General features: G+C 46.2%; 1 protein-coding gene and 1 long non-coding RNA gene across 6 annotated transcripts in view, besides 2 other annotated features; one reads left to right on the top strand and one right to left on the bottom strand.

Annotated features, from left to right (window-relative positions):
* Window positions 1-21913, top strand: part of ABCC4 (ATP binding cassette subfamily C member 4 (PEL blood group)) — a 281617-nt gene that overhangs the window by 9554 nt on the left and 250150 nt on the right. The gene's annotated exons all lie outside the window — the stretch shown is intronic.
* Window positions 9644-9693: an enhancer, noted in NCBI's record as "active region_7873". NCBI's record gives its function as "activates an Ori minimal core promoter by ATAC-STARR-seq in GM12878 lymphoblastoid cells {active_cell/tissue: GM12878}" and the evidence as "EXISTENCE:reporter gene assay evidence [ECO:0000049][PMID:35858748]".
* Window positions 10464-13809, bottom strand: LOC124903192 (uncharacterized). Its single transcript, XR_007063838.1, has 2 exons — window positions 13736-13809; window positions 10464-12969 (listed from the first exon to the last, which is right to left on the bottom strand). It is a non-coding gene; the product is annotated as an uncharacterized LOC124903192 (long non-coding RNA).
* Window positions 17215-17314: a silencer, noted in NCBI's record as "silent region_5436". NCBI's record gives its function as "represses an Ori minimal core promoter by ATAC-STARR-seq in GM12878 lymphoblastoid cells {active_cell/tissue: GM12878}" and the evidence as "EXISTENCE:reporter gene assay evidence [ECO:0000049][PMID:35858748]".

Here is a 21913-nt window from a genome sequence, read left to right as displayed (position 1 = left end):
CTTGGCTCACTGCAACCTCCACCTTCTGGTTCAAGCAATTCTCGTGCCTCAGCCTCCCGAGTAGCTGGGATTACAGGCACGCGCCACCACACCCAGCTAATACTTGTATTTTAGTAGAGATGGAGTTTCATCATGTTGGCCAATGTGGTCAGGAAGTTTATGTCAATTTGGGCATCATCAGTGATACATGCAGTTGAGCTATATTGGACACATGGCCAATTGACCTCACAGTCCGCAGGGCTTGTCCCCATGTAACTGCTCTTCTATCCCTATGCAAATTCATTTTGTAGATGCTAACGTTTAGCAGCTCATTGTTGCTGTTGAAAGTTCTTGGAACACTTTCGTAGTCTGAATGCTAGAAAGGATGGGTCCTAGGAATGTCCTCTAGGTTGTGGCAGATCCACTAATCAACACTGTGGTTGCTAGATTAACTTGGCCACAAGTGTCAAGAGAGGTCGTGTCATATGGAGGTCTGCTTTATGGAAGTCAAGAGGTATTGGAGTATTGGATCACCTGGGCACTTCTGTCTTTTTTTTTTTTTTGAGACAGGATCTTGCCTTGCCAGCCAGCCTTGGAGTGCAGTGGTGCATTCATAGCTTATTGGAGCCTTGACTTCCCAGGCTCAAGTGATCCTACTGCTTCAGCCCCCCAAGTAGCTGGGACTACAGGTGCGGGCCACCACAGCTGGCTAATTTTTCTAATTTTTTGTAGAGGTGGGGTTTTGCCATGTTGCCCAGACTAGTCTCGAACTCTTGAGCTCAAGTGATCCACCTGCCTTGGCCTCCCAAAATGCTGGGATGACAGGTGTGAACCGTCATGCCCAGCCTGGGCAGTCATTCAGAAACCCTACCAAGAAAAGGGTTAAAGTCATTTGGCATGGTTTCCTCTTTTTTTTTTTTTGAGACAGGGTCTTGCTCTGTCGCCCAGGCCGAAGTGCAGTGGCGCAACCTCAGCTCAGTACAACCTCTGCCTCCCGGGGTTCAAGCGGTTCTCCTGTCTCAGCCTCCCGAGTAGCTGGGATTACAGGTGCTTGCCACCACACCCGGCTAATTTTTGTATTTGTATTTTTTATTTTTATTTATTTTTTTGAGATGGAGTTTTGCTCTTTTTGCCCAGGCTGGAGTGCAATGGCGCGATGCTACTGTGCCTGGCCTCACGATTTCCTCTTTTTTTTTTTTTTTTTTTTTTTTTTGAGACAGAGTTTTGCTCTTGTTGCCCAGGCTGGAGTGCAATGGCACGATCTTGGCTAACTGCAACCTCTGCCTCCCAGGTTCAAGTGATTCTCCTGCCTCAGCCTCCCCAGTAGCTGGGATTATAGGCATGTGGCACTACGCCTAGCTGATTTTTGTATTTTTAGTAGAGATAGGGTTTCACCATGTTGGCCATGCTAGTCTCGAACGCCTGACCTCAGGTGATCCACCTACCTTGGCCTCCCAAAGTGCTGGGATTACAGGCGTGAGACACCACACCCGGCCATGATTCCTCTTAACACAAGCTGGCTCTTGGTGCTGCTTTTCATGAATATACTCTCAAATTGCTCCCTTCAAATGATTGTTGATGTGCATTATTTCTTTTAACCTTATTAGCTTTATTTTTTCTAAATTCTTTTTAGATTACATAGCAGTTTCTTAGCCCTCACCATGATTGGATCACCTGGACAGCCATAAAAATATGGATGTCTGTTCCCCTTATAGGCCAATTGGAAAAATAATTTCTGGGGGTGGGATCCACGCATCTATCTATCTATCATCTATCTATCTATCTATCTATCTATCTATCTATCTATCTATCTATTTTTTTTGAGACAGAGTTTTGCTCTTGTTGCCCAGGCTGGAGTGGAATGGTGTGATCTTGGCTCACCGCAACCTCTGCCTCCCGGGTTCAAGCAGTTCTCCTGCCTTAGCCTCCTGAGTAGCTGGGATTATAGGCATGCGCTACCATGCCTGGCTAATTTTGTATTTTTAGTAGAGATGGGGTTTCTCCATGTTGGCCAGGCTGGTCTCGAACTCTCGACCTCAGGTGATCCGTCAGCCTTGGCCTCCCAAAATGCTGGGATTACAGGTGTGAGCCACCGCGCCCCGCACATCAATATTTTAAAAAGGTTCTCTACGTTTCTGATGGGCACTGAAGCCCAAGAACCACTGATCAACTGCTTGCCAAAGTCAAAAATATTTCTGTGCATATTTCCATTTTTCTGGCCAAAGGTTCGCTGCCCCTTTTTCAGGTTCCTCTCAAAGGACTTGTCTGATCTCAAAGCATGAGAACCATTACCACAATAGGACTTACTCCCCTCTGTGGGTGCTCAGCCAGTGGCTGAGGGAGAAGGGGGATTGCTCCGTGCCAGGGATGTTGTTAGAGATGCCGGGTTCTTCGATTTTTATAGTAACCCCTTGTTGAGGGTGGCTCTGCTCTTGTGTTACATACAGGTGAAGGAAACTGAGAGAGTCCAGGTAGCATAATGAGGGTCACCCAGGCAGGACATGATGGAGTTGGGAACTGAGTCAAGTCTGACAAATTCCAAAGCATGAGCTGCAGCCTCTGCGTCACTATGTTTATTTTCTCACCCTGGGTCAGAGATTAATTGAGCTCATGAGAGTACTTGACAGGAAATCTCACACTTGTGAATTCAGAGCTCGTGAGCATAAAATTGCTCTTCTAATCACTTGCTTTTATTTGCTGATCTTTATTGGTGCATTTTATTGGTCAGGATGTGATTGAGATTATGTAATAAACCCAACTGACCGCTTCTTTTAACTTCTGCTATTGAAGTAATCCCTCAGATTACTGTCTTGAGAGACGGAGAGTGCATACAGTCCAACAGTGTGTACTCTTCCTCTTTAAAGACAGTAGAAAGGTATCCATCTTGTTTTAAATAGTAGCAGGGAGGTTTATCAATGGCTTAACATGGTAGGCTGGGCCTGGAGAGCTCTCAATGTAACAGAGCTCAAATGTGGCATTTACATGAATTCTAAGTTGATTAAGCGACACAATTTGTTCAACTATAAAACATAATACATTCTTAATAGATTTTACCTATTATTGTATATGTAAGTTCCTAGTACATATTAGGCTGTAGGTAAATGGGATGATGAGGGTTCTTGCTAAATTTATCCCCCATCCTTTTTTTTTTGAGTCAGAGTCTTGCTCTTGAGCAACCTCCACCTTCTGGGTTCAAGCAGTTCTCCTGCCTCAGCCTCCCGAGTAGCTGGAATTACAGGCTTGTGCCATGACACCTGGCTAATTTTTGTATTTTTAGTAGAGATGGGACTTTGCCATGTTGGCCAGGCTGGTCTTGAACTCCTGACCTCAGGTGATCCGCCCACCTCAGCCTCCCAAAGTGCTGGGATTACAGGCATGAGCCACTGCGTCCAGCCTAAATTTACCCTTTTATCATGCCTTTTTTATTGTCTTAAGTCTTTAAGTCTTATTTAAGTCTTGACTCATTTGCGACTTTTTTACTAAATTGTTAGCTCTATTAAGGCAGAAACCAGTATCTTCAATGTCTTAATCTCTCAGTGACTGGTTTAACATCTTGCAATTAATATGCTTAATTAATGTTTATAAGCTATTACTTTAGTCTTAATCTCAATTTCTTGAATTTAGAGTTGCTGACACCTGTGTCTTAGGTAGGACCAAGTGAGAAGCTAGTTATTGTGACAGCCTCAGACTGGAGCCAGAAGACCCATGATCTTGTATATATTAGCTGTGTGTGACCTTAGGCAAGACACATGACCACTCTGGGCTTCAGTATCCTATTCTATGATTTAGAAAAATTAAACCTACTCATGGCATGTTTTAAGAACTATATTTTAAAAATACATTATAAAATATTTATTTATTTATTTATTATTTGTGTGAGGCAGAGTCTCACTCCGTTGCCCAGGCTGGAGTGCAGTGGTGCGATTTCGGCTCACTGCAACCTCCGTCTCCCGGGTTCAAGTGATTCTCGTGCCTCAGCCTCCCGAGTAGCTGGGACTATAGGTGCATGCCACCATGCCTGGCTAATTTTTTGTAGTTTTAGTAGAGACGGGGTTTCACTGTGTTAGCCAGGATGGTCTTGATCTCCTAACTTCGTGATCTGCCAGCCTTGGCCTCCCAAAGTGCTGAGATTACAGGTGTGAGCCACCTCATCTGGCCTATTTATTTATTTATGAGGTCTTTCTGTGTTGCCCAGGCTAGAGTGTAGTGGCTATTCACAGGCACACTACATCCTCAAATTTATGGCCTCAAGAGGTCCTCCTTCCTGATCCTCCCAAGTATCTGGGACTGGCTCCAAGAGGTGTATTTTAAGGAAAAAGTTTTTTTTTTTTTGAGACGAAGTCATGCCCTTCCACCCAGGCTGGAGTGCAATGGCGTGATCTTGGCTCACTGCAACTTCTACCTCCCAGATTCAAACGATTCTGCTGTCTCAGCCTCCTGAGTAGCTGGGATTACAGGTGCCTGCCACCATGCCCAGCTAATTTTTGTATTTTTAGTAGAGACGGGGTTTCACCATGTTGGCCAGGCTGGTCTTGAACTCCTGACCTCGTGATCTGCCCACCTTAGCCTCCCAAAGTGCTGGGATTAGAGGCGTGAGCCACCATCCCTGGCCAGTTCTCTTTTTTTGGAGACAGAGTTTTGCTCTGTTGCCCAGGCTGGAGTGCAGTGGCACAATCTTGGCTCACTGCAACCTTCTGGGTTCAAGTGATTCTCATGCCTCAGCCTCCCAGGTAGCTGAAACTATAGGCATGTGCTACCATACCGGGCTAATTTTTTGTATTTTATTAGAGATAGGTTTCACCATGTTGCCCAGGCTGGTTTCAAACTGCTGAGCTCAGCCAATCTGCCCACCTTGGCCTCCCAAAGTGCTAGAGTTACAGGCGTGAGCCATCGTGCCCGGTCAATGAAACAATAAAGTTCTATACACTTATTTTTCTTTTCTTTTCTTTTTTTTTTTTTTTTGAGACAGAGTTTCACTCTTGTTGCCCAGGCTAGAGTGCAATGGCATGGACTCAGCTCACTGCAACCTCTGCCTCGGGGTTCAAGCAATTCTCCTGCCTCAGCCTCCTGAGTAACTGGGATTACAGGCGTGTGCCACCACACCTGGCTAATTTTTGTATTTTTAGTAGACAAGGGGTTTCACCATGTTGGCCAGGCTGGTCTCGAACTCCTGACCTCAGGTGATCCACCTGCCTCAGCCTTCTAAAGTCCTGGGATTACAGGCGTGAGCCTCCGCGCCCGGCCTTATACACTAATTTTTCTCCCTCACCTCCAATCAAGCAGGGAAAGTGAATATGGAAGTAGGTCAGTGTATAATGTCCCATCTCTGGTGAATGGAGAAGTCACCTGTTTGTAAGTCCCCCCAGAAATGAAGATCTATTAAAAAAACAAAGGCCACAAAGGGAAATTTAATTCATACTCAGAAGTGGGCCACTATCTATGGAAGTACTTGGAAAATAATAAGGTGCGTTATTATTACATCTTTAAGAAGTTTTCCTGGGCTGGGCACTGTGGCTCATGCCTGTAATCTCAGCACTTTGGGAGGCCGAGGCAGGCGGATCACCTGAGGTCAGGAGTTGGAGATCAGCCTGGCCAACATAGTGGAACCCTGACTTTACTAAAAATACAAAAATTAGCTGAGTGTGGTGGTGGGCGCCTGTAATCCCAGCTTCTGGGGAGGCTGAGACAGGAGAATCGCTTGAACCTGGGAGGCGGAGGTTGCAGTGAGCCGAAATTGTGCCACTGCACTCCAGCCTGGGTGACAGAGTGAGACTCCGTCTCAAAAAAAAAAAAAAGTTTTTCTGGAAAGCAGTTTCACAGCAGAGCAACAAGGCTGAAATTGCCCCAGTCAGCCTTTGCTGGCTGACTTCCCTTTTTCCGTTAATAGCACCACCACACCCAGTAACTAAGGCTTGCGTCCTCAGTTATCTGCACGTAGGGAAGAGTCTGGTCAGTGATAAAAGGTAGTTGGTCAGTTGCCACGTCTTGACTGGAGGCACGCAATGATTCCAGATTCCAACCCAGTCAATACACTGCAGGCTTTATCTTTACAAGGCATAGCTCTGCTGCTTTCTGTTCCAGAACCTTTGGTGGCATCTTCTTTGGCATTTAATACTCTCCTTTTCCTGGTCCTAACTTAGCTTTCCTACATTCTCAGATATCCATTGTTCCTGGACAGTCAATATATGATGCCTTTCCCCTGATCACACCTTATATTTGCTGTCCTGTTCCCTTAGCTCATGTTATATACCCTGGCTAGAGTACCTACCTCTCAGCTCGGCTGCTAAAATTCTCCCTGAAAACCCATCCATTAACCAACTTCTAGTCCATTATTCAGAGGATATGGAACTGCTATTTATTTATTTATTTGAGATGGAGTCCCGCTCTGTTGCCCAGGCTGGAGTGTAGTAGTGTGATCTTGGCTCACTGCAACCTCTGCCTCCTGGGTTCAAGTGATTCTCCTGCCTCAGCCCCCAAAATAGCTGGGATTACAGGCACCCGCCACCATGCCCAGCTGATTGTTGTGTTTTAGTAGAGATGGGGTTTCACCATGTTGGTCAGGTTGGTCTTGAACTCCTGTCCTCAAGTGATCCTCCCGCCTCAGCCTCCCAATGTGCTGGGATTACAGGTGTAAGCTACCACGCCTGGCCCCTATTTATTTATTTATTTAAGAGACGGAGTCTCACTCTGTTGCCCAGGCTGGAGTACAGTGGTGTGATCTCAGCTCATTGCAGCCTCTACCTCCTGGGCTCAAGTGATTCTCTAATCACAGCCTTTTGAGTAGCTGGGATTGCAGGCATGTGCCACCATGTCTGGCTTACTTTTGTTTATTTTTTGTAGAGACGAGATCTCACTATGTTATCCAGGCTGGTCTCAAACTCCTGGACTCAAATGATTCTCCTTCCTCGGCCTCTCATTCTGCTAGGAATACAGACATGAGCCACCATGCCTGGCCTGGAACTACTGTATATTTAGACATTATAATTATGTACTGCTTCCTGTAGGCAGGGGGGCTATTCTAAGTACCTTACCAATAAATATTATTAAATACTAATAACAAACCTTTGGGGTGGGTACTATTATTTCCCACGGTCACACAGCCTTTGAGTGGCAGAGCCTAGGTTCAAACCAGGTAGGTAACTTAGCACAGAGTCCCTGCTCTCAGCTGCAGCGTCATGTACCTCTTGATTATAGGTGCTGGGAATACAGTGACCCTGGTCCCTGCCCTAAGGGGCTTATGTTCCAGTGGGAGTCAAACCATATACATTTTTGAGTCTCTGCTGTTTGCCAAGCACAGGGGACAGGGGTGTCTGCCGAAAAGGCCGTGTCATCTGTGTAGCTGCTAGACACTGTCAGTTCCCTGTGGGCAGTGTCCTTGCCTGTATATGTCCCAAGTACCTGACCTAGTCCTGGCACAAAGTGGCTCAGTTGGCTGGGCAAGGTGGCTCATGCCTATAATCCCAGCACTTTGGGAGGCTGAGGCAGGTGGATAGCTTGAGCCTAGGAGTTTGTGAACAGCCTGTGCAACATGGTGAAACTCTTGTCTCTACAAAAAATACAAAAATTAGCCAGTCATGGTGGTGCACACCTGTAGTAACAGTTACTCAGGAAGGCTGAGGTGGGAGGATCACCTGAGCCCAGGAGGTTGTGGCTGCAGTGACACATGATCGCACCCCTGCACTCCAGCCTGGACAACACAGTGAGACCCTGTCTCAAAAAAACCCCAAAAAACAACAACCAAAATCTCAAACAAAACCAAAACAAAAAACAAAAAACCTGCCTCCCAGGTTCAAGTAATTCTCCTGCCTCAGCCTCCCCAGTAGCTGGGATTACAGGCATACGACACATGCCACCACGCTCGGCTAATTTTTTTGTATTTTTAGTAGAGACGGGGTTTCTCTATGTTGGTCAGGCTGGTCTCGAACTCCCGACCTCAGATGATTTGCCTGCCTCGGCCTCCCAAAGTGCTGGGATTACAGGCGTGAGCCACTGCACCTGGCGCCACTCTTTTTTTTTTTTTGAGACGGAGTTTCGCTCTTGTTGCCCAGGCTGGAGTGCAATGACGAGATCTCGGCTCACGGCAACCTCTGCCTCCTGGGTTCAAGTGATTCTCCTGCCTCAGCCTCCCTAGTAGCTGGGATTACAGGTATGCACCACCACGCCCATAGAGACGGGGTTTCTCCATGTTGGCTAGGCTGGTCTTGAACTCCTGACCTCGGGTGATCCACCCACCTCGGCCTCCCAAAGTGCTGGGATTAGAGGTGTGAGCCACTGTGCCTGGCCCCCTCTCTTAATCTCTGCATTCTGCTGCCACTCAGCATGAGATGCTCTTCAGAAAAAATATCCTTCTGGCTGCAATATAAAGTTAGGGGAGGGCAGGAATGGAGGGAATGAGTTAGGAGCTAGCTACAGTCCTAGTTGCTTGGGAGGCTGAGATGGGGGCATTGCTTGAGCCCAGGAGTTCAAGGCTGCAGTGAGGTATCATTGCACCACTGCACTCCAGCCTGGGAGACAGCAAGACCCTGTCTCAAAAAAAAAAAAAAAAAAAAAAAAAAAACCACAGAAAAACTTCAAGGTGGCTCTAGGATTAGCAGCATCAGCAGCAGCCTGTGTTTTAATCAGTCCTCCAAGTGATTCTGATGCATGCTGATGTTTGAGACCCACTGCCACAGGACCAGTTTTTAAACTTTTTTTTTTTTTTTTGAGTTGGAGTCTTGCTCTGTTGCCCAGGCAGGAGTGCAGTGGCGCTATCTCAGCTCACTGCAGCCTCCGCCTCCCAGGTTCAAGCGATTCTCCTGCCCCAGCCTCCCAAGTAGCTGGGACTACAGGTGCGTGCCACCGCGCCAGGCTAATTTTTTGTATTTTTAGTAGAGATGGGGTTTCACTGTGTTGACCAGGATGGTCTTGATTCCTGACCTTGTGATCCACCTGCCTTGGGATCCCAAAGTGCTGGGATACAGGCTTGAGCCACTGTGCCTGGCCAGTTTTTAAACATTTTGATCACGTTCTACAAGTTTTACATATGTAATGACCAAGAGATATATTCTCTTTCTCTCTCTCACACATAACATATTTAACATACTTTAGGCTGGACACGGTGGCTCACACCTGTAATCCCAGCACTTTGGGAGGCCAAGGTGGGCAGATCACAAGGTCAGGAGTTTGAGAGCAGACTGGTCAACATGGTGAAACCCTGTCTCTACTAAAAATACAAAAATTAGCCAGGCATGATGGCGTGCACCTGTAATCCCAGCTACTCAGGAGGCTGAGGCAGGAGAATTGTTTGAACCCGGGAGGCAGAGGTTGCAGTGAGTCGAGATTGTGCCACTGCACTCCAGCCTGGGCGACAGAGCAAGACTCCTTCTCAAAAAAAATAAAAAATAAAAAAATAAAAGAAAAACATACTTTAGTAAAAGTTTCAAGAAACAGTGTCCTGTCTTAGGAAACATGTGACACACTGGTATTTTCGATTCTGTTTCATTAAACAAAGTGCTTTGAGACCTGTCAGAACCCCTGCTCTTGAGCAAATCAAGAAGGTTGCTGTGCTGCAAGGGTGCACTTCCAAAGCCACCTTCAGTGGGACTTTCCTGTCTTTGAAGAAGCCTTTCACTTCCAGAGCTTGACCCAGGGAGTCCTTGTTTCTCTAAGTCTGGACCTGCTCCTTTATCACCCATATTACGGGCTGAATTATGTCCCCCCAAAGTTCGCATGTTGGAGTCCTGATCTCTAGTACTTCAGAATGTGATTGTATTTGAAGACGGGGATTTTTTTTTTTTTTTTTTAAGATGGAGTCTCTCTCTGTTGCCCAGGCTGGAGTGCAGTGGCTCTGTTGTCCAGGCTGGAGTACAGTGGTGTGATCTCAGCCCACTGCAACCTCCACCCCTCCCAGGTTCAAGCAATTCTCCTGCCTCAGCCTGACGAGTAGCTGGGACTACCGGTGCGTGCTACCACATCCGGGTAATTTTTGTATTTTTAGTAGAGACGGGGTTTTGCCATGTTGGCCAGCCTGGTCTCGAACTCCTAACCTCAGGTGATCTGCCCTCCTTGGCCTCCCAAAGTGCTGGGATTACAGGTGTGAGCCATAGTGCCTGGCCTGATTGTGATTTTTTTTTTATGGCAGCCTGAGCAGACTATATTACAGCCCACAAGCCTCACAAAGATATTGCCTGGAGTTAGTGCCACTGGTTGTCATTTTCCAGAGCTGCTTTGTAGGGCAGTAATGTGTCCTCTGTTAGACTGAACTCGCCAAGGAGTTTGACCCTCTATTCCACCTGCTTATTATAGAACTACTCCCTCTTTTCCTCATATTTCTTGGGTTGAGTTTGGGTAAGATTACTAAAATTCTTCAGATGTGGAACCAATCTTCATAAACACTTCAGAATACTTTGCTTCCTTCTGAATTACTACAGACAAGCAGTCTGGGAGGTCCAAGTCTGTATAATTATTGTTCTTAACATTCTGTCACTCATTATTGTTGGTGTTCGTTTCTCAATGCCAGATGAGGTGTGTCTTGGGCAAAAGCCTGTCCAGTGTAAGCTGTTCTGTTCTTTCAGGCAGAATCACTCAGACTTATGCTCTCAACTTTCTCTCTCTCTTTTTTTTTTTTTTTTTTTTTTTTTGAGAGAGTCTCTGTCGCCCAGGAGTGCAGTGGTGTGATCTTGGCTCACTGCAACGTCCACCTCCCAGATTCAAGTGATTCCCCTGCCTCAGCCTCCCAAGTAGCTGGGATTACAGGCTTGCACCACCACACCCAGCTAATTTTTGTATTTTTAGTAGAGATGGGGTTTCACCATGTTGCCACAGTGCCTGGCCTGAACTTTCTCTTTTACAGCCACATGCAAATTACCTGAACTATCTGGCTTTTGGGAAAACCCTGTGCAAGTTCTTAGCATCCAGTATTAAAAGAAAAGAGATGGCTCTGTTCTCTTAGCAACTCAAAATCCTCTTCCTTCTCCCCCTTTAAAATATAATGTAGTCCTTGTTTTTCCTTAAAATAAATATTTTAAAGAGAAAATTGGTCCATTTGAAGAAGCCAAAATAGGATCTCTTCCCCTCTCCTTGTTGCTGTCTCTCTCGAGTGGATTTTGGTCATTTCTGCTAAGTTTGCCCAGAAAATAGGCTGAAGTCTGTGGAAGGGAAATTCCACAAAGCTGCCTCATGTCCACAGTTCCTCGGGAGGAATTCCTTTCCTGTAAGGAGGAGGCACATTTTCTGAGAGTCCCTTCCAGGAAGGATGAGGTGCAGCAGGAAGGAATCCCACAGAGAGCCGTCTCACAGACACAGAAAAGGGAAGGAATTGCCTTTGACTTCTGGGAATTGGATGGTTTTTTTTTTTTTTTTTTTTTTAATAGAAGGCAAAACAGCAAATGGCAGCTACTAGTGACTGACTATATCAGGTTTTGGAAAAGTGGGCAGTGAGGGTTTTGTTGATTGGATTGAACTCTGCTTGGCAAACCATAGATGACCCTGAGTAAGCCTTAGGCCTTTTTTTTTTTTTTTTTTGAGATGGAGTCTCACTCTGTCACCCAGGCTGGAGTGCAGTGTCATGATCTTGGCGTACCACAACCTCTGCCTCCTGGGTTCAAGTGATCCTCCTACCTCAGCCTCCTGAGTAGCTGGGATTACAGGCACCTGCCACCACACCTGGTTAATTTTTTGTATTGTTAGTAGAGATGGGGTTTCACTATGTTGGTCAGGGTGGTCTCGAACTCCTGATTACAAGTGATTCACCTGCCTTGGCCTCCCGAGCCTTAGCCCTTTTGATTCCCTGACATCAAATGCTACTTCTCTTGGATAGTTATACTGTGAGAAGTTGGTGACGGGCAAAACGGGAGCCCAGGCCAGTGTCAGAAACTCACCCAGAGTCGCAGGGACAAAGCTGTTGTGTGGGTTCTTCCCTGTGAGAATCTTAAGGATGGAAATGGTGAGCACAAACCTTGGCATTTAAGGACCGACAATGCTGAGATGTTGTGGTGGGTCCTTGAGTAGGGCTCAAGTGTCCTTCCAGGGTGGTGGTCCCAGGGAATTGGGCCAGAAACAAGGCCACCCAGTCTCAGCTCTGTTGTTCCTGGGGGGCCCTGTGGCTCCAGGAGCTCGTGAACATGGCGAACCCCACTTCCCCATCCCCTTTCTGCCTTCTCTTCTGTTCTCTTGACAGTCTCTGTTTTCTACCCACTGGGGTCAGCAAATCAGCCCCTTTTACCGGTTTCCACAAAAATCCACAAAAAGCACTGTGAGGACTTGGGGATTTCTTGAAGATTTGGGTTGAGGTATTTCAGGAGGGCCTTGCCTCGCCCCTTTCCACTCCATCTTCCTCTCTGCTCCCCACTTCTCTGGAATAAGAGGTACTGCCCTCCTTATTTCAGCGCTGTCATTCTGATCACTCTAGGACCGGTTGAGACTTTTTCGTGAACAGTTTCCTACCTTTTTAGGCAACCATCTGTAAGACAAGGTAGAATGCTACCATAACCATGATTAACATTTGCAAACACTCTGCCACAGTGCAGCCACTTTCTTTGTCTCCAGCTGAAGAAATTGAGGTGCACAGAGGTTAAATTTGATGCTCAAAGCAATACAACTAGAAAATATAGGAGGCTGGGCTGCCTGATTGATTCCCAGCTTAGAGATTGAAAGTCACATGCGAAGCGCTTTAGCAGATAGAGAAGGGGGAGTCATACTCCAGTGTGCATTTTAGTTTGTGCTTTTCTGTCCTTGAATTAAGAAGTGTGACGTGTGCCTCCAACAGCATAGCATGCTACAGAAATGGATTTCTTTTCCTGGGGTTGATAATCTGCTGGCCAAATCTTTATCTCTGTAGTATCCTGTGTTTCCTGGTGCATTTTAGCATTTGGTTAAATTGTAGGGAAAAGGGTTTGTGTTCTTTATATCTGGATTGTCTATTAGATCACGTTTTTTTGTGTTGTTATTTGCGTCTTTTTTTTTCCTGGAAGGAAGTGATTGGCTGTAACAGTTTCTCTCCCACTCCGGTCTCTGAGGAAGGAAAAAAAAAATACCTTGGTTTCATATGAAATTAGACTAATAGAATTTCTAATTATCTGAGTTCATTGAGTTGTTGTCAGTCTGTGTTTTTTTTTTTTTTTTTTTTTTTTTTTCCGAGACAGGGTCTTGCTCTGTCTCTCAGGCTGGAGTATAAGTGGTGCGATCATAGCTCACTGCAGCCTCAACCTCCCTGTGCTCGGGCTCAGGTGATCCTCCCACCTCAGCTTCCTGAGTAGCTGGGACTATAGGCATGCACCACCATGCCTGGCTAATTTTTGTTTTTGTTTTGTAGAGGCAGGGTTTTACCATGTTGCACAGGCTGCTTTCAAACTCCCTGGCTCATGCAATCCACCCACCTCAGCCTCCCAATGTGTTGGGATTATAGGCGTGAGCCACCGCCCCTTGCCTCTCTGTCTGGGCTTGGTCCTCCTGGGAACCTCTGCCTTGATCACCCATCTAGAAGAATGGAGGACCTCTGCCGTTTCAGTCATCCTTTTCACCTGTACCAGTTGGCCCAGGAGAATCCTGGTTTATATCCCTTATCACACTGCCACTATTAAGCTCCCCCTTTCACTCCTAAGAGTATCCCAGGTTAGATGATATGACCATGAATGGAGCTGAAGTTCATATTATACATAATATGAAGTATACATAAGGTATACGGGCCCTCTAAAGCCATGGGGCATAAGCACAAACTGTGGGCACAGTGATGTAAATATTTGCTAAACTTTTATCCAAAGTAATGATTGGTAAAAACCTGGTAGCATCTCCACTTGAGCAGACATCTTCAGAAATAACCTGTAACCTGTGCTTTATACATAAGAACAATGGCATGCGGCGTTCTCTCCTCCGTCCCTGGGTTGACCGCGGTGGGGTAGGGGGTCAGACTTGCCTTCTCCAGTGGGGCAAGTCCCCTTGGTGGTGACTGTCCTGGCTGTTGTTCCAATCTGAGCTAGTTTCTTCATAAGTCAATTGAAGGTGCAGTATTACCCTGCAGGGTGGACCAAGGAATGTGTTAGCCATGCTTGCTGCCTTTCTCCAGGACCTGAAGCCCCGCCACCCTCTCCTGGGGTCCCTTTTTCTCTCCCTTCTGCGGGACACGTTTTGTGATCTCTGCGCAAACAGAGGCAACACACTTAGTCATTAAGGATTTTTCTGTAAGTGCATTAGCCTTAGGCTTCAGCACTTGCTGTTCTCTTTGCTTGGAACTTGTTGACCCTGCTCTTGTCACTGGGGGCTTTGTCCTCCTGGGAAACTCTGCCTTGACCACCCATCTAGAGTAAACGCCCCCATTCACTACCATGGCTCCCTACTTTCTTTGTGGATTTTTTTTTTTTTTTTGAGAAGTCTCACTCTTGTTGCCTAGGCTGGAGTGCAATGGCATGGTCCCAGCTCACTGCAACCTCCACCTCCTGGGTTCAGGCGATCCTCCTGCCTCAGGCTCCCAAATAACTGAGATTACAGGCGCCCGCCACCATGCCCGGCTAATTTTTGTATTTTTGGTAGAGACAAGGTTTCACCATGTTGGCCAGGCTGGTCTCGAACTCCTGAACTCAGGTGATCCACCCTCCTTGGCCTCCCAAAGTGCTTGGATTATAGGTGTGAGCCACTGTGCCTGGCCTTCTGTGTGGATCTTACTGTTACTCTGACCCCCTCTTTTTAGTGTGATTGCCTTTCCCTCTCCCCTCTCCCTTCCCCAATGTGAACTCTGTAAAAATGATCCTAGGTCTAGAACCTATAAGAGTGCCTGTTAGTGGTGGGTGCTTAAGAGTTAATTTGAATTAATGAGGTTAATAATTCTTGTTTCCCTATAGTCCTGTTGTTGAGATTCCTGGTTAGAAAAAAAAGTGAGTTGTGGGTTGTATACTTTGTTTATTTATTTATTGTATTTATTTATTTTTGAGACTGAGTCTCGCTCTGTCGCCCAGTCTGGAGTGCAGTGGTGCGACTTCGGCTAACTCCAACTTTTGCCTCCCGGATTCAAGCGATTCTCCTGCCTCAGCCTCCTAAGTAGCTGGGACTACAGGCGTGTGCCACCACACTCGGTTAATGTTTGTGCTTTTAGTAGAGACAGAGTTTCACCATGTTGGCCAGGCTGGTCTCGGACTCCTGGCCTCAGGTGATCTGCCTGCCTTGGCTTCCCAAAGTGTTGGGATTACAGGCGTGAGCCACTGCGGCTGGCCCGTGGGTTGTATCCTTTTTTATTAATAAAGGCATCTCTATATGCTGTGGTTTGAGAGGGGTTGAAGGCTACTTCCCATGGGAATGAGTGAGGAAGAGCCTATTGCACTCTGGTGTCTTTGAGGGAAAGAGAGGCGGGTGGCTGCCTTCTCTGCTCTTGGGTTCCACAGCTGGGGATTGGGAGGTTACTCTTTTATCAATTGGTTTTTTCTTTTTTTCTTTTTTTTTTTTTGAGGCAGGGTCTCACTCTGTCGCCTAGGCTAGTGTGCAGTGGTATGATCACAGCTTATTGCAGCTTCGTTCACTTTTTTTTTTTTTTTTTTTGGAGATGGGTCCTGTACTGTCTCCCAGGCTCGAGTGCAGTGGTGAGATCATGGCTCACTGCAGCCTTGACTTCCTGGGCTTAAGTGATCCTCCCACTTCAGCCTCTGGAATAGCTGGGACCACAGGCGTGTTCCACCATGCCTAGCTAATAAAACAATTTTTTTGTAGGGACTAGGTCTTGCCATGTTGCCCAGGCTGGTCTCAAACTCCTGGGCTTGAGCAATCCTCCTGCCTTGGCCCCTCAAAGCAGTGAGATTATAGGCATGAACCATTGTGCTCAGCCCTGAGATTTGTTTTAAAAAGTGCCCTGAGATTCACTATGGAGTATTCCCTCTTGATTTATTTCCTACCAAGTAAGCCCTTTAACAGACCATGTATGGCAGCTTTTTGAAGAATGTTTTAGGTCTTTCTAAATATGCAGCTATTCAGGCTAAGGATTGGCATGTTTGTAATTGACCTAATGATTCAAAGAATGGACTGGTTCAGCTGGAATTTTCCTAAAATCTATCCCATTGACAGAGTATTGCACAATTAGAAAAGTGTATGATTTATAATTAGCGTACCCACTTTAACTCTGAATAACAGGCATAAAGGTTATTATATTTTGAATCAGTGTTAACAGTTTTAGACAGCTGTTCTTTGTTACTTGATTTTTTTTTTTTTTTGAGACAGAAACTTACTCTGTCACCCAGGCTGGAGTGCAGTACAGAGATTTCTGCCCACTGCAGCCTGTATTTTGAGGCACAGTTGTTTTTGCTCATTAGAGTGCTGCTGAGAGAGTTGATTTCCTAGTTCTAGAGTCACCGCCAAGAGTCCTAAACATTTTCCTATAAGAGAGATGGTAAGGATGGTTACAAAGAAGTAGGCCTGATTTGGTGTAGAAAATTGGTTTCATGTTCAAAGCCAACAAGGGGATGGGGGAGTTTTGGATCAGACCTTTGATTCTGGCGCAGAGCCACAAGGGCTTTGTGTGTTTTGTTTACAGAGCTTAAGCAATCTCAGTTATTAGCTTGCGGATAATTACCAGAAATGTGAACTTAAATCTGTGCTTATTTATTTAACTCCTTGCCTTTTCTCCTAAGAATGTAGGGTGGTGGCATTATAAAAATTAAAGAAAAAGCAAGGCTCCACCACTTTCATGGTGATTCTACTTTACCTGCAGTAAAATCACAGCATGATGGCCAAATTGCCCTTCCTCTCCAAACTTCATACCATTTACTATAAAATAATTTGGATCATAGGGTGATGTAGGCCTGGGGCTGAAGTCTGTGTCAGAATGTTCCTGTGGAGGTTTATATGTTAAAAATTAAAATGAAAACCTGTTTTATTTTATTTTTTGAGACGGAGTCTTGCTCTGTTGCCCAGGCTGGAGTGCAGTGGCACAATCTCGGCTCACTGCAACCTCTGCCTCCCGGGTTCAAGTGATTATCCTGCTTCAGCCTCCTGAGTAGCTGGGATTACAGGCACCCACCACCACACCTGGCTAATTTTTGTGTTTTTAGTAGAGACAGGGTTGTACCATGTTGGCCAGGCTGGTCTCGAACTCCTGACGTCAAGTGATCCGCCTGCCTCGGCCTCCCAAAGTGCTGGGATTACAGGCATAAGCCACCATGCCTGGCTTATTCTATGTTGTTTTTTGTGATGGTCAGTGAGATGTGGCCACAGGAGGAGGCAGAGGAGGTGCTCAGGAAGGCCAAGGTTATTATACTCACAGGTCTTAGAGACGGGAAGCATGTCATGCCCTGCAGGGCCACATGGGGAAGCATCAGTCTTGGTCCCCCCTGTAGGAGCCTGAAGGGGCAGGAGTGAGGGGAGAGCCTGGGCCATGGTCTTTCTTGAGCTTTCAGGGACAGGGCAGGGGAGTGCATGTGAACAGTTTAGAATTGGCTAGTTTGAATAATTTTGGCAGGCTGTAAGCTACAGGCATGGTTTCTAGTTGCTTGTTATCAGGCTCTGGCATGATATAGGTGAAGAAATACTGCTTCCTGGGGTGGACAGGCTAGATAAAGACGGCATAGCTCTGGGTTGGTTGGTTTGCATATCAGAGCTGTGCTCCTGGCTGGGCCCTTCTGGTTCTAAGAACTGGCCAGCTCTGGGAAGGACAGTCTCTCCCCAGCCAGAGAGGTTTCCAAAACGTCAAGACATCATAGTATGCACAAAGTAAAAAATATAAACAGTACAAAGGCCCTGAACAGGGTCACCCTGCTGTATGAGAAATCTACTGGCCTGGCTGAAGGGGAAAGTTGCTTGGGCAGAACAGTGAAAAGCTAAAGCAGGCTTGTTAGTTGTATGAGTCTGTTTTCACGCTGCTGATAAAGACATACCTGAGACTGGGCAATTTACAAAAGAAGAGGTTTAGTGGACTTACAGTTCCATGTGGCTGGGGAGACCTCACAATCATGACAGAAGGCACGGAGGAGAAAGTCACGTGGATGGCAGCAGGCAAAGAGAGAGCTTGTGCAGGCAAACTCTTATTTTTAAAAGCATCAGATATCGCGTGAACCCCGGGGGGCGGAGCCTGCAGTGAGCCTAGATCGCGCCACTGCATTCCAGCCTGGGCAACAGCAAGACTCCGTCTCAAAAAAAAAAAAAAAAAAACAAACCAAAAAAAAAACCCATCAGATCTCGTGAGACTTATCCACTATCACAAGAACAGCACAGGAAAGACCCGCCCCCATGATTCAATTATCTCCCATTGGATCCCTCCCACAACATGTGGGAACTGTGGGAGCTACAAGATGAGATTTGGGTGGGGACACAGAGCCATATCAGTAGTGTAAACCTGGAGCCAGCAGGAAGAGGCATTTGACAGAGCAGGAGGGTCCATGGTGCTCAGTCAAAGTCTTAGGACAAATAGTCCCCATGGAACAGAAGGCAATGCACCTGGCCTTGTTGCGTTTAATTTTAACTTTGCTGTATTTTCAATGATCTGCTCCTCCAGGGAACTGGTGGCACACCCTGAGTCTGCTAGGTGGGCTAAAGACTCACAACCTGAGGGAAGGGGCCAGGAAAGAAAGGAAGCCATGGCCTAGAGGGTGTTATTTGGGACCCCACGCCCATCCAGGCCGACAGAGCTGCGGTAAGGCTGAGCAAAACACACTCGCACCTGAACCTCACTCTGACGTTGTGGGAGGCCCTACCTTGTCAAAGCTGAAAGAAACGTCAGGAAAAGAAAATGCCCCCAAATAATTGTAACACATGTGCTATTGGTTTGGCGACTTTGGTAAAAGGTTTGGAAGTTTCAGGGAACATTCCAGATAAGCAGGGACCATCTTCTTCATAAATTGCTCTTTGAATTAGGATAAAAAAAATCAATTGCCATAGATAAAATTTCTGGGATTTTTATGAGCCCAACCTGTTTTCCAGGTTAATTATGCCTAAATATCTGTTTGTTTTCTTTCTTGTCATATAAAGTCATTGGGGTCCTGTAGGGGGTGTGTGTGTGTGTGTATGATTTTGTGTTAGGTAGCAGGTGTTTAGGTTTGTCCAGCACATGTTTATTTTATTTTTTTATTTTTTTATTTTTTGAGACGGAGTCTCGCTCTGTCACCCAGGCTGGAGTGCAATGGTGACATCTTGGCTCACTGCAACCTCTGCCTCCCGGGTTCAAGCGATTCCCCTGTCTCAGCCTCTCGAGTAGCGGGGATTACAGGCATGCACCACCACACCTGGCTAATTTTTGGATTTTTAGTAGAGACAGGGTTTCACCATGTTGGCCAGGCTGGTCTCAAACTCCTGACCTCAGGTGATCCACCTGCCTTGGCCTCCCAAAGTGCTGGGATTACAGGCGTGAGCCACCGTGCCCGGCCCCACATGTTTAGTACTAGATGCTAAAATCAATCTGTGGCCTTGTGGAGTTTATAATCCACTGAATTAATTTAGATTAATTCACAGGATTAATTTAGATTTCATGTTTGAATATGAAATTTGTGGTCATTTAAACAGAAACTGGGCTGGAAAGTACTTTTTTCTCTGTCTGTGAAAGGTTTTTTTAGGGCAAATGAACAGTATAAATTAGATTGCTTAGAGAATGTTGTAAACACATTTTACCACAGACACTTTATGTGCACAAAGAGGCTTGGCGTGTTGGCTCACACCTGTAATCCCACACTTTGGGAGGCCAAGTGGATCACCTGAGGTCAGGAGTTTGAGACCAGCCTGGCCAACGTGGTGAAACGCTATCTCTAGTAAAAATACAAAAAATTAGCCGGGTGTGCTGGCGGGTGCCTGTAATCCCAGCTACTCAGGAGGCTGAGGCAGGAGAATCACTTGAACCTAGGAGGTGGAGGTTGCAGTGAGCCGAGATCGTGCCATTGCACCCCAGCCTGGGCAACAAGAGCGAAAGTTCGTCTCAAAAAAAAAAAAATATGTGCTTAAAGAACATGCTGGAGCATTTCCTCTGAGGAAGTTATCTCAGGTACTAGAGATTAATCAGCCTGCACCTCTTTGTGTATATTCAATAATTTAGATTTTTTGTGAGTTCAAACTGGCTTTTTCTTAAAGTTGGTGGGGAGAGGCATGTGATCAGACTTCTTGGGTGGTTAGGAGCTTTTTGGATTGAGTCCCGTCTGTTTTCCAGGCTGTTGGCTAATGGTGATTAAAGGCCCAGGGAATCCTGCTTGTCTCCTTCCAGTTTCGTGCAGAGCTATGTCACGCTGCGTGCTCTGTTTCTGTTAGGACCAATGTCTGTTTGTTATATAAATAGAAAAGGAACATAAAGCTAAGGAACCAAGAAGGTTCCATTACAGATCAGTGTCTCAACGTATCCTTGAGGTTTGGTACAAGTTCTCCGCTTCCTGAAATTTTTGGACAAACATTGTGACATTCATAAATACCGGACTGCTAGGATATTGAGGGCTGAGGTAACGCAAATACTTGCTGTGGTTTTATAGAGTAATAATCTGTTAATCATAGCTGTGGCCTTAGAGAATAAACAACCTCTGTGTAGGCTTCTTTGTAAGAATGGCACAGCTGACGGGGACCTCTGCGAACCAAAGGCCAGCGTGTGACCTTCTTATCCTCTGCTTCCTAGGCCAGCAGTGACTGCCTTTGGAGATCTCATTGTTTACAGCCCTGTCTCTGACTCAGGGTGGCAGATTATGTTTTTGGTAGAGCCCAGCCAGCCCCTATCACATTGCACACTAATGTAATCCGTCGGCAGCTGTCTCTGTATTCATTATTTAGCTGCACTAACTGGAGTTAATCATAGATCTGAGCTAAACTTTGTTATGGGTCAAGAGAGAAAGGCCATCTGGCTATTTCTTGGGTCGTCTTGGGTGTATTTTTCCACTGCTTATCATTTGACCACCATCTGTTTTTTGAGACGGAGTCTGGCTCTGTCCCCCAGGCTGGAGTGCAGTGGCGCGATCTCGGCTCACTGCAAGCTCCGCCTCCCAGGTTCACGCCATTCTCCTGCCTCAGCCTCCCGAGTAGCTGGGACTACAGGCGGCTGCCACCATGCCAGGCTAATTTTTTGTATTTTTAGTAGAGATGGAGTTTCACCATGTTAACCAGGATAGTCTCGATCTCCTGACCTTATAATCGTCTCGCCTCGGCCTCCCAAAGTGCTGGGATTACAGGCGTGAGCCACCGTGCCCGGCCCATTTGGCCACCATCTATGAGGCATCTGAAAGAAGAGAAACTCATGCGTGGTGGCTCTGCCTGTAGCTTCCCTACTCAGTGTGGTTTGCAGACAGTAGCATTGCCATCATCTGGGGCTGGGGAGAAACACAGGTTCTCATGCTCTGTCCCAGACTTAGTATCAGAATCTCTACTAGATCTCATGCGTGGGCCCTGGCCAGCCCCCTGTTGTGTGCTTGGTTGACGCTGGGCTGCTGCTGGTAGACCTCCCTTTCTCTTCTGTGCCACAGGGTCTCACCAAACTGCAAAGGAGGTGGGTAATAAAGTCAAACCCTGTGCCAGGAATGATGGGAGAAGGAAGGGTCAGACCCACAAATGGGCCAAGGAATGGATTAGGTGAGCTAAGCTGTGGTTGTAGTTCAGCAGTCACTATTACGCCCACCTTTTCTTATTCCTTTCCTATTTTTCTTTTCTTTCTTTTTTTTTTTTTTTTTCACAGCCTGGTAATGTGGAATATTTACTTTTCTTAAATCACTGTATTAAAAGATGAAAAAAGTCATTTTTTCTCTTCCCCTTCCCACAGTCATTGTTGATTAGAGAAAATACTAACAAAATATATTAATTTAATTTCCAACTACAGATAACACCAATATTAATAGTTGGGTGACTGTCCCTCTTTTCATGGAGAAAACCTAATGCCTATCAAATGCCCAACGTTGAAGAGCTATACAAATGTGGATTTTCTGGTCGTCTTCCTCCCTCCCTTCCTTTATCCTCTCTTATGACAGAAAATTACAAACATGTACAAAAGTAGAGGGAACAGTAATGAACCCCTGAATACCAGTCTGTC

Source organism: Homo sapiens, chromosome 13 (assembly GCF_000001405.40).
Source record: "Homo sapiens chromosome 13, GRCh38.p14 Primary Assembly".
NCBI classification, from domain to species: Eukaryota; Metazoa; Chordata; class Mammalia; order Primates; family Hominidae; genus Homo; species Homo sapiens.
The sequence above is the reverse complement of the archived record's forward strand: the minus strand, read 5'-3'. Positions and strand labels throughout refer to the sequence as shown.